The sequence below is a fragment of the Homo sapiens genome, chromosome 17, assembly GCF_000001405.40.
Source record: "Homo sapiens chromosome 17, GRCh38.p14 Primary Assembly".
Lineage (NCBI taxonomy): Eukaryota > Metazoa > Chordata > Mammalia > Primates > Hominidae > Homo > Homo sapiens.
The window spans coordinates 76,842,447-76,855,283 of NC_000017.11; the positions used below are offsets into that span (position 1 = coordinate 76,842,447).

The 12,837-nt window shown below is 49.2% G+C and overlaps 1 annotated feature.

Moving 5' to 3' along the window:
- Window positions 1,893-2,721: an enhancer, noted in NCBI's record as "H3K4me1 hESC enhancer chr17:74840421-74841249 (GRCh37/hg19 assembly coordinates)". NCBI's record gives its function as "activates a minimal SCP1, AML or CMV promoter by ChIP-STARR-seq in primed H9 embryonic stem cells {active_cell/tissue: H9 hESC(primed)}" and the evidence as "EXISTENCE:reporter gene assay evidence [ECO:0000049][PMID:30033119]".

The following is a 12,837-nucleotide window of genomic DNA, read 5'->3' on the forward strand; positions in this document are numbered from 1 at the left end:
GGTAATTAGGGCCAGGCACTGTGGCTCACACCTGTAATCTCAGCACTTTGGGAGGCTGAGGTGGGGGTATCAGTTCAAGACAAGCCTGGCCAACATGGTGAAACTCTGTCTCTACTAAAAATACAGAAATTAGCCAGGCATGGTGGCATGTGCCTGTAATCCCAGCTACTCGGGAGGCAGGAGAATCGCTTGAACCCAGGAGGTGGAGGTTGCAGTGAGCTGAGATCACACACCACTGCACTGCAGCCTGGGCAACAGAGGGCTACTCCATCTCAAAAAAAAAGAAAAAAGAGGTAATTAGGTTAGGTGCAGTGGCTCATGCCTGTAATCCCAGCACTTTGGGAGGCCAAGGCAGGTGGATCACCTGAGGTCAGGAGTTTGAGACCAGCCTGGCCAACAGTTGAAACTCCGTCTCTAGTAAAAATACAAAATTAGCCGGGCATGGTGGTGGCACCTGTAATCCCAGCTACTTGGGAGGCTGAGGCAAGATAATCGCTTGAACCTGGGAGGCGGAGGTTGCAGTGAGCCGAGATTGCACCACTGCACTCCAGCCTGGGCGACAAGAGTGAAACTCCGTCTCAAAATAAAATAAAAATTAAGTGAAAATGGGCCCTATCCAACATGATGGGTGTCCTTACAAGAAGAGGGACACAGACACAGGGAAGACCAGGTGAAGGTCATGCAAGCCAACGTAGGAGGCGTGAACAAAAACCCAACCCTGCTAACACCTTGAACTTGGACTTCTAGGTTTCAGAATTGTGGAAAAATTGCTGGGCTAGGTGGTTCTTGCCTGTAATCCCAGCACTTTTGGAGGCCAAGGTAGAAGGATCATTTGAGGCCAGGAGTTTGAGACCAACCTGGGCAACATAGTGAGACCCCATCTTTTTTTTTTTTTTTTTTGAGACAGAGTCTCGCCGTCGCTCAGGCAGAGTGCAGTGGCATGATCTTGGCTCACTGCAACCTCCACCTCCTGGGTTCAAACGATTCTCCTGCCTCAGACTCCCAGGTAGCTGAGACTACAGGTGTGCGCCACCACACCCGGCTAATTTTTGTATTTTTAGTAGAGACAGGGTTTCAGCCTGTTGGTCAGGCTGTTCTCGAACTCCTGACCTCAGATGATCCACCAGCCTGAGCCTCCCAAAGTGTGGGATTACAGGCATGAGCCACCACACCCAGCTGAGACCCCATCTTTTAAAAAAAAACAAATTAGTTGGGCATGGTGGCATGCACCTGTGGTCCCAGCTACTCCGGATGCTGAGGAGGGAGGATAGCTTGAGATCAGGAGATTGAGGCTGCAGTGAGCCGTGATTGCACCACTGCACTCCAGCCTGAGCAACAGAGCGAGACTCTGTTTCTAAAAGAAGAAAAGAAAAATTGTGAAATAATAGATTTCTGCTGGTTGAGGCACATGGTCTGTGGCTCTTTAGCATCCTCGGCTGTGAGGGAGCCATGTGGCTGCTGTCTGGGAGGCAGGAAGCACTTCTGCCTCTGAGGAAGCCCCTCCAGGAACCCAGCTCCAGGACCAGCAGTCGGGGTGGTCAAATGAAGGTGGGCCCCTTTGCTGGCCTGACCCTGGAGGTGGGGACATCTGGTGGCCTCCTGGGGAAGGGGACTCAGTTGCATCACAGCCAGTCGACCCATGCAGGTGCCAGGTGTGCACATGGGAACGTGTCTGTGTGCTTGTGTGTGTTCAAACAGGAGAGACTGGTCAGGCTTAGCGATTAAGCTTACACCCCTTCCCCAGCCCACAGAGCACACAGTGCACCATTTCTACAAGGATCTCAGAAAATCAATAGGTGTCCCATCAGGGCAGGAGCAGCTGAGTTCAGCTTGTGTTTCCTGGAGTGTGCCTGTCCCCAGATCATCTGTTCTGTGATGCCAGAGGCAGGAGTGGAGCTTGTGCAGAGCTTCTGATGACTCCCGGCCCCTCTGGAACTCTGAGTCATACTCTTGCCATAACCTCCATGGTCACAGTCGTGCCTGCTAGGCACTCTTATTGTAGAGACCTTCTGAAGGTCACTGCAAAATCGTGATGCCCTAAATGCATTGTGGACCAAGACCAGAGGCAGGTGGGGCTCCTCTTTGACAGGCCCCAGGCCCGGGAGATTTGCTGTTAGGAGGAATCACTGATGACTGAACGTATTCTGGGGAAGAGAGAAGGGGGACGGATATGGAGACAAGTCACCAGGAAGACCCCCTGCGGGACAGATTGGAATCACAGCCCTGGAAAAGGGCCATGACATGAGCAGGGATGGCCTGGAGTGGGGGATGTGGTCAGGCTGCTGTGGGGTGCTCCTGTCTTAACAGTGAAGAATGGCTGGTGGTCCCCAAACAGCAGACAGTACAGCCCTGCTGGACCTGTGACCTGGGATGCTGGGCAGTTCTGTGAGGGCTCGACTCCCTGCAATGCCTCTCCTAGGTCCTCTTCTGCATTCTCTCACCACGAACCTCACCCAGGCCAGTCTTTCATGACTGCTCTGCTAAGCCCACAGGGGTTCTAAATTTTTTGACTATTCGTAACCAAGGCAACCCATAAATATAGCACAAACCGATTCTTGATTCCTGAGACAGTTTTTGTAGATTGCTACTCAGTTTCCATCTTTCCTTTTGGTCCTGGTTGTGGCGGTCCCTGGGACGGCCCACACACTTGGTGATTTGCCAGAAGGGCTCATGGGACCCAGTGGAGTCTGCAGCATTCTGTTACAGCCATCAGGGGCTTCCTCCTTCCCTCGAGGGCGCTCACAGAGCATGCTCCTTCCCCAGCCGAGAGAAACACATGTGCAATATGTCTGCCCAGGGATACCCCTTAGAGACTCAGAACCCAAGGTTTTTACTGAGGGCTGGTCACATAGGCAATCCCTACTGAGCAACTTTAAAAAAAAACTCTCCCATAAGAAAAGCAGGTGTTGGGCCAGGTTCAATGGCTCATGCCTGTAATCCTAGCACTTTGGGAGGTTGAGGCAGGAGGCTTGCTTAAGCTCAGGAGTTCTAGACCAGCCTGGGTAACATAACAAGACCCAATCTGTACAAAAATAAAATAAAAAAATTAGCCCAGGATGGGGGCATGCACCTGTGGTCCCAGCTACTCAGGAGGTGGAGGATCACTTGAGCCTGGGAGGTGGAGGTTGCAGTGAGCCAAGATTACACCACTGCACTCCAGCCTGGGCAACAGAGCAAGACCCTGTCTCAAAAATAAATAAATAAATGAAGAAAAGAAAAAAAGCAGTTATTTATCCTAACCCATATTGTTTGCATACACAGGCTAGGCACAGTGAGTCACCCTTATCAGCCAGGGAATGGAGGAGTGGTTCAAGTGCCAAGTTCCCAGAAGCCAGCTCAGAGCTGACCTCACGGGTGGACTGTTTTAAAGATAGCAGCACTGGGCCTCAAGTCCATGAGGTCTTTTCTCAGTCAGGACCTGGCCCGGCTCTCCCAAATAAATGATCAGCTATGGGGTTGCTTTCCTCTTAGCTCACTTTTCTTCCAGCTGCGACCCTTGGCTTCCTCCCTCCCTCCCGTGGGGACCTCCCATCGTACTTAAGGCACAGCTGTTGAGTGGGGCTCTCCGTGCCTGTTTTGAAGAGCCTCTCCCTCTGCTAATTAGTCTTTGCATCTTTACAACTGACTTAATTTATTTTATTTTTATTTTTTTGAGATGGAGTTTCGCTCTTTGTTGCCCAGGCTGGAGTGCAGTGGCACAATCTCGGCTCACTGCAACCTCTGCCTCCTGGGTTTAAGTGATTCTCCTGTCTCAGCCTCCCAAATAGCTGGGATTATAGGCACCCACCACAATGCCTGGCTAATTTTTGTATTTTTAGTAGAGACAGGGTTTCACCATGTTGGCCAGGCTGGTCTTGAACTCCGACCTCAGATGATCCACCTACCTCCGCCTCCCAAAGTGCTGGGATTACAGGCATGAGCCACTGAGCCTGGCCACAACTGACTCTTAATTTATTGCTGTGTTCATACCATTTCTACCACTCTGGATAAATTTTCCTAACACCTCCATAATGGGTCTTAACTTGAGGCTTGGATTGTTTCTTGAGGGGGGGTTCTAGCCAGGGAGAGAATGAACTCTTTCTAACTGAACAGCTCTTCCAGATGCTTTCCACAACCATTCAACCCACAGAGCAGGAAGTGCCTGTGTTAGTGTCTGTTGCCGCACATTACAAACAGTACTAAGGATACAGGAAGGTACAAGAAACTGGTGCCAAGGTTGACTCCATGGAGGGGAACTGGATGGCTGTGAGGGGCAGGTGTGGAAAAGAGACAATTCACCATATGCTCTGTGAGAGCCCTTTAAATTTTGTACTGTGTACAAGTATTACTTTTTCAAACAAAATTATTTTTCTATTATTTTTTAAGACAGGGTCTCACTCTGTCGCTCAGGCTGGAGTGCAATGGTGTGATCGAAGCTCACTGCAGCCTCAACCTCCCAGGCTCAAGTGATCCTCCCACCTCAGCCTCCTCAGTAGCTGTGACTACAGTCACATGCTACTATGCCTGGCTAAGTTTTAGAGTTTTTGTAGAGATGGGAGTCTCACTACATTGCCCAGGCTGGTCTTGAGCTCCTGGGCTCAAGCAATCTTCCCACCTCTGCCTCCTGAAGTGCTGGGATTACAAATGAGCTATTTAACCCAGCCAAAATTTTTAACTAAAAGAAGAAGAGGAGGAAGAGGAAGGAGATGAGGAGGAAGAGGAAGGAGATGAGGACGAGGGAGAGAAATAAGAATAATCATAAGAAGGAGAAGGAGAAAAATGAAGAGGAGGAGGAGGAGAACAAGGGGAGGAGGGGGAGGAGAAGGAGTAGGTGGTGGTGGAGAATCAGGGCATCATTATTCACAGTAGTCAAAAGGTGGAAACAACCCAAATGTCCATCATCTGATGAATGGATAAACAAAATGTGGTGTAGCCATACCATGAAATATTTAGTCATAAAAAGGAATGAAGTTCTAATATCTGTTACGATGTAGATGAACCTTTACAACATTACACAAAAGGCCGGGCATGGGTGGCTCATGTCTGTAATCCCATCATATTGGAAGGCCAAGGAAGGATTGCTGGAGCTCAAGAGTTTGAGACCAGCCTGGGCAACATAGGAAAACCTCGTCTTTCCAAAAAAAAAAAAAAAAAAAATTAGCCAGGCTGGATGGTGGATGCCTGTGGTCCCAACTACTTGGGAGGCTGGGGTAGGAGGATCATTTGCACCCAGGAGGTGAAGGCTGCAGTGAGCCGTGATCATGCCATTGTACTCCAGCATGGATGACAGAGCAAGACCCTGTCTCAAAGAAAAAAAGAAGAAAACTGCATAAAAGAGCGCATATTTTATAATCTCATGTATGTGAGATATCCCAAATTGGTAAATCATAGAGACAGAAAGCAGGTTAGTGGTCCCCAGGGGCTTGGGGGAGGGGAGAATGAGGGGTGGCTGCTTAGTGGGAATGGAGTCTTCCTCTGGGGTGATGAAATGTTTTGGAGATAGAAGTGGTGGTTGCACAAAAAAAAGTGAATGTACTAAATGCTACTGAATTGTATATTTTATTTAATTTATTTTTTTCAAGACGGACTTTCGCTCTTTCTCCCAGGCTGGAGTGAAGTAGGCGTGATCTCGATTTGCTGTAACCTCCACCCCGGGGTTCAAGTGATTCTCCCGCCTCAGCCTCCTGAATAGCTGGGATACAGGTGCATGTCACCACGCCTGGCTAATTTTTGTATTTTTAGTAGAGACAGGGTTTCACCATGTTGGCCAGGCTGGTCTCGAACTCCTGACCTGAGGTGATCCACCCGCCTCGGCCTCCCAAAGTGCTGGGATTACAGGTGTGAGCCACTGCCCCTGGCCGAATTGTATATTTTTAAATGGTTAATTTTATGTTATGTGAATTTCTCCTTGATTTTTTTTTTTAAACAAGAAATAGAGTATGCTCTGGTAAGGTTCAGCTCGGGGAAGTTCCCTGTCCATAATTACCGTGAGCTCTAGAGGGACTGGAGTTCTAGGTGCCCTGGCCAAGCGCACACTGGGGCTCCATGTCTCCACTCATTGACCTGGTTGGTCCCTGGCTTTCCCAGGTTCCAGACATCAAAGGGGGTACGTCAACAGTGCGCACCATCATGCCAATTAAATGCCGTGATGCACCATATATACGCCTAACCAGCAATCAACCAAAATAGCACTTAGGGGCAAACTCCCACCCGTGTCTTACAAATAACTGCAGTTGTAGAATGTACAAGGAAATGACAGAGTCTGCCATTAACCTCAGGCCTGCAGCATCTCCAGACTGCGCTGCTCACAGATGGCTTGCACTGAGGGAAGCATCAGTGTCACCCGGGGAGCCAACTGCAAGCCCATCTACTTCGGGTCCCTCCAGGCAGTGTCTGCTTTCTCTAAGAAACAGGAATGAAGAATATTCTTATCTCTACCCATTAGGCCTGAGGACGACTCTGGACTTGGTTGATAAAACAACCAAATTAGAAGGAGAAGCGGGGCCTCAGCACCCGGAGGACAGATCTTGGTGGCTGTCAAGCCTTTGGTTTTAGCTGAGGAGGAAGAGAGAAGGCGCCAGAGCCTTGGGGCTCCCCTGTGAGATATTAATCCTGAAAGCTATATGTGCAGGCCCCGCTGAGTGCCCCACAGTCCTCACCGTGGCCCGAGGGGGGAGATACTTTTTTTTTTTTGAGATGGAGTTTTGCTCTGTCACCCAAACTGGAGTGCAATGGCGCGATCTCGGCTCACTGCAACCTCCGCCTCCCAGGTTCAAGAAATTCTCCTGCCTCAGCCAGGCTTACAGGCATCCGCCACCACGCCCAGCTAATTTTTGTATTTTTAGTAGAGATTGAGTTTCTCCATGTTGGTCAGCCTGGTCTTGAACTCCTGACCTCAGGTGATCTGCCCACCTCGGCCTCTTAAAGTGCTGGGATTATAGGTGTGAGCCACCGCGCCCGGCTGGAGGATGTGATCTTATGACATCATTCATTTACTTATTTAGAGACAGAGTCTTGCTCCATCACCCAGGCTGGAGTGCAGTGGCACAATCATGGCTCACTGCAGTCTCGAAGTCCTGCAGTGAGTCTCAAGTGATCCTCCCACCTCAGCCTCCCTAGGAACTGGGACCACAGGTGCACGCCACCACACCTGGCTAATTTTTGTATTTTTTATTTTGCCATGTTGCCCAGGGTGGTCTCGAATGCCTGGATTCCAGCGATCTTCCCACCTTGGCCTTCCAAAGTGCTGAGATTCCAAGTGTGAGCAGCTGAGCCCAGCCTTATGATGTATGTCATCTATATGGTTGAGGAGGCCAAGCCCAGCCAGGCAGGAGAGGTGCTCCAGCCCAGGCAATCTGTAAGCGGCAGTGCTGAGATGTGCACCCAGGGCTGTCTGATCCAAAGTCTGTGCTTTTACATAAGATAATACGCTGGGGAATCATTTTTTTTTTTTTTTTTTTTTGAGACAGAGTCTTGCTCTGTTGCCCAGGCTGGAGTGCAGTGGCGTGATCTCAGCTCACTGCAACCTCCCCGCTATGCTGGGGAGTCTTAGGGTTAGCTCAGGGCTATGGCTGAAATGTTTGCCTTCTGCCCCTGCCAAGTTCATATGTTGAAACCTCAACTGGTGTGACGGTATTTGAATATGGGGCCTTGGGGAGGTAATTAGGTCAAAAGGGTGGAGCCCGTGTAGATGGATGAAAGCCCCTATAAAAAGACAAGAGAGAGCTTGCTTCCGCTCCGCTCTCCACCAGTAAGGATACAACAAGGAGAGGCCGCCTACAAGCCAGGAAGACAATCGTTCAGTAGCCTTCAGATCCGCCAACACCTTGATCCTGGGCTTGCGGCTGCCAGACCTGTGAGAAAGCGATGCCCATTGTTTAAGCCCCTGGTCTTTGATCTGTTACCGCAGCGCGAGCTGACCACGCACTCAGTGTGAGGCGATGACCTTTTTCTCAACCATGCGCAAGTGGTATTTCTGCGTGCTTCAAATATCACAGGCCGGATTGTCAGGAAACCAAGGAGGGGCCTTTTGGAAGAGAATGATGCTGAGCATCCGGGTCCCTGGACAGCCAGCAGCCCTGAGGCAGACAGAAGTTTGGACAACTCAGGACAGGGAGCTTGGAGGGCAGCCCCTACATGTCGGAGTGGTCCCTACCTGTGTTGCCTCAACTCTTCCTTCAAGGCAAGAGCCGCTAAGGACAGTCAGGACATCCTACCGCCCAAGGCTGTTGAGCTCGGCCGGCCAAGGGTAAGTCTAGGGCTGGACGAGCTATGCCTGGGGCTCAGGTGCCCCCGGTGGGGCTGAGCACAGCCCAGGAGCTGGGCCTGGCTTCTCTGAGACTTGCAAGTCACACAAAATGCCTTCTACTCCATGGAGTGAGAGAGTGGAACTAAGAGGGGGGCAGTTTTAGAAGCTGAGTGAGGAGGTGGGAGAGGCACCTGATAAGAACTTGGGCTTGGCAGTTAGAGGAACAGGCAGAGGGGTTGGGGCCAGGTGCGGAGGCGGGGGATGGGCCACAAGGTGGGGTAGGTGGGGGGAAGGTGCAGAGAGGAGGGGCGGGGTGGGCATTATGGGGTTCTGTAAGAGTTTGGGGGCAGGGGCCAGGCGCAGTGGCTCATACCTGTAATCCCAGCACTTTGGGAGGCTGAGGCGGGCAGATCACCTGAGGTCTGGAGTTCAAGACCAACCTGGCCAACATGGTGAAATCCCATCTCTATTAAAAATACAAAAATTAGGCTGGGTGCGGTGGCTCATGCCTGTAATCCCAGCACTTTGGGAGGCTGAGGTGGGTGGGTCACCTGAGGTCAGGAGTTCGAGACCAGCCTGACCAATATGGTGAAACCCCGTCTCTACTAAAAATACAAAAATTAGCTAGGCGTGGTGGCGGGCGCCTGTAGTCCCAGCTACTCGGGAGGCTGAGACAGGAGAATTACTTGAACCTGGGAGGCAGAGGTTGCAGTGAGCCGAGATCACGCCACTGCACTCCAGCCTGGGCGACAGCGTGAGACTCTGTCTCAAAAACAACAACAAAAAACAAACAAACAAAAACAAAAATTAGTCGGGTGTGGTGGCGGGTGCCTGTAATCCCAGCTACTCAGGAGGCTGAGGCAGGAGAATCAATTGAACCCAGGAGGTGGAGGTTGCAGTGAGCTGAGATCGCACCATTGCACTTCAGCCTGGGCGACAGAGCGAAACTCTGTCTCAAGAAAAAAATTTAAAAAGAGAGAGAGAGAGTTCGGGAGAACGGGAGCAGAGGTCCCTGGAGATGTTCCCATTTCCTGGGTCTCCAGCAGCCCCCACTGACATCTCACTGAGTCCCTGTGTTCTCTGATATTCCTGAACAAGACCCAATTCATTATCATCCTAAAAATTGACTTAGGGAAAAAAAAAGTAGAGCCTTCAGCTCAAAGAACTGCTGAGATCTGGGATGATGGATGGCTTTATTAGCATGCTTCAATTTTATATTTATCAAATTAAACCAGCAGCCAAGGGACACTTAATTAAGATTCTTTGTCATCAGTCAGAGGAGAGAAGATGGGGGAGAGAAAGGGCTTATGACCCATATTCTAGAAGGAAAGGTTTAAGTGCCCAAAATAATATGTCAGAGGCCCTTGGGAGGGTTTGGTGGCTTGCAGTAATGAGGGCTGTCTTCACCGTGGGAATCCGAGGATGGGTTCGAGTCTTTCTTCCTTAAGTGTTTTCTCTTTATTAAGCTCTCATCAGAGATGCGACATTTATTCAGTGCTGGTCCTCCATGTTAACAAACACACCATGTCTGTAAGATATCAGAGCACAGGGCAGCCAGGGAGTCTGGGTTCAAATCCCGACTCTCCTTACTAATTGCATAATCATGGGCAAGTTACTTCATTAAAAAAAAAAAAAAACTGGGATATAATTCACATAAAATTCACCCCTTTAGAGTGTACAATTCAGTAGTTTTTAGTATATTTATAAATTCTTAGTATATTCACCATTGTGCAAACGTCACTTTCCAGTTAAAACATTTCCATCACCCCTGCATTAGTCCGTTTTCACCCTGCTGATAAAGACATACCTGAGACTGGGCAATTTACAAAAGAAAGAGGTTTATTGGACTTACAGTTCCACATGGCTGGGGAGGCCTCACAGCCATGGTGGAAGACTAGGAGGAGCAAGCCACATCTTACGTGGATGGCAGCAGGCAAAGAGAGAGCTTGTGCAAGGAAACTCCTCTTTTTAAAACCAACAGATTGGCCTGGCGTGGTGGCGTATGCCTATAATCCCAGCACTTTGGGAGGCTGAGGTGAGCGGATCACCTGAGGTCAGGAGTTTGAGACCAGTCTGGCCAACATGGTGAAACCCAGTCTCTACTAAAAATACAAAAAAATTAGCCCATTGTGATGGTGTATGTTTGTAATCCCAGCTACTCAGGAGGCTGAAGCAGGAGAATCACTTGAACCTGGGAGGAAGAGGTTACAGTGAGCTGAGATCATGCCACTGCATTCCAGCCTGGGCAAAAAGAGCAAAATTCCATCTCAAAATAATTAAAAATAAAAAATAAAACCATCAGATCTTGTGAGACTCATTCACTATCACGAGAACAGCACGGGAAAGACCCGCCCCCGTGATTCAATCACCTCCTACTGGATTCGTCCCACGACACGTGGGAATTGTGGGAGTTACAATTCAAGATGAAATCTGGGTGGGACACAGCCAAACCATATGAATCCCCAAGAGAAACCCCGTACCCTTTAGTGGTTATCCTCCATTCCCCCTGCCCCTAGGCCCTGGAACCATGAATCTGCTTTCAGGTTCTATGGCTTTGCCTATCTGGACATTTCATGTAGATGGAATCTGCAATATTTGCCCTTTTGTGTTTGACTTCTTTCACCCCGCGTAATGTTTTCAAGATTCATTCACATTGTAGCACATATTAGTATTTCATTCCTTTAAAAATTTAAATGTGGCAAAATACACGTAAGATAAAATTACCATCTTAATTTTTTTTTTTTTTTTTTTTTTTAAGATGTGGTCTTGCTCTGTCACCCAGGCTGGAGTGCAGTGGTGCCATCATGGCTCACTGCAGCCTCAAACTCCTGGGCTCAAGCCATCCTCCCACCTCCACCTCCCGAGTAGCTGGGACAACAGCCACCATGCCTGGCTAATTTTTAAAAATTTTTTGTAGAGATGGGGTCTCCCTCTGCTGTCCAGGCTGATCTCCTGCCTGAGCCTCCCAAAGTGCTGGGATTATAGGCATGAGCCACCGTGCCCAGCCATCTTAATCTTTTTTTTTTTTTTTTAAGTTGCAGTTTTGCTCTTGTCTCCCAGGCTGGGGTGCAATGAAGTGGTCTTGGCTCACTGCAACCCCCGCCTCCCTGGTGCAAGCGATTCTCCTGCCTCAGCCTCCTGGGTAGCTGGGATTATAGGCTTGTGCCACCATGCCCGGCTAATTTTTGCATTTTTAGTAGAGATGGGGTTTTACCATGTTGGTCAGGCTGGTCTCAAACTTCTGACCTTAGGGTATCCACCCACCTCAGCCTCCCAAAGTGCTGGGATTACAGGTGTGAGCCACTGTGGCTGGCCTCATCTTAATCATTTTTGTGTGTACAGTTTAGTAGTGTTAAGTACTAAATATTACTATGTGATCATCACCACCATCCATCTTCATAACTCTTTCATCTCGTAAAACCGGGCTGGGCACCGTGACTCATGCTTGTAATGCCAGCATTTTGGGAAGCTGAAGTGGGAGGATCACTTGAGTCCAGGAGTTGGAGAGCAGCCTGGGCAATATAAAGAGACCCCTCTAAAAATTTTTTTAAAAACATTAGCTGAGCATGATGGTGCATGCCTGTAGCCCCAGCTACTTGAGAGGCTAAGGAAGGAGGATAGCTTGAGCCCAGAAGTTCAAGGCTACAGTGAGCTGTGATCATGCCATTTGCACTCCAACCTGGGCAACAGAGAGAGAGAGAGAGAGACCCTGTCTCAAAACAAAACAAAATGAAAAAACCCCACAAAACTCTATACCCAACAAACCACTCTGCATTCTCTCCTCCCTCTAGCCCTTGGGAACCCTCGTTCTACTTTCTTTCTCCCTGAGTTTGACTATTTTGGAACCTCATATAAGTGGAATCCCATAGTATTTGTCTTTTTGTGCATGACTTATTTCACTCAGCATAATGTCTTCAAGGTTTGAAGGTTTGTCTATGTTGCAGCATGTGTCAGAAATTCCCTTTTTTTTTTTTGAGGCAGAGACATGGTCTCGCTCTGTCGCCCAGGCTTGAGTGCAGTGGCACAATATGGACTCAACTGCAACCTCCGCCTCCCTGGTTCAAGCAATTCTCCTGTCTCAGCCTCCTGTGTAGCTGGGACTACAGGTGCACTCCAGCACACCTGGCTAATTTTTGTATTTTTAGTACAGACAGGGTTTCACCATATTGGTCAGGCTGGTCTCGAACTACTGACCTCAGGTGATCTGCCTGCCTTGGCCTCCTAAAGTGCTAAAGTGCTGGAATTACAGGCATGAGCCACCGCACCCAGACATAAATTCCTTCCTTTTTTTTTTTTTTTTGAGATGGAGTCTCACTCTGTTGCCCAGGCTGGAATGCAGTGGTGTGATCTTGGCTTATTGCAACCTCTACCTTCTGGGTTCAAGCAATTCTCCTGCCTCAGCCTCCCGAGTAGCTGGGATTACAGGCGTGTGCCACCATGCCCAGCTAATTTTTTGTATTTTTAGTAGAGACAGGGTTTCACCATGTTAGCCAGGATGTTCTTGATCTCCTGACCTTGGGATCCACCTGCCTTGGTCTCCCAAAGTGTTGGGATTACAGGCGTGAGCCACCATGCCCGGCCAAATTCCTTCCTTTTTAAGGCTGAATAAT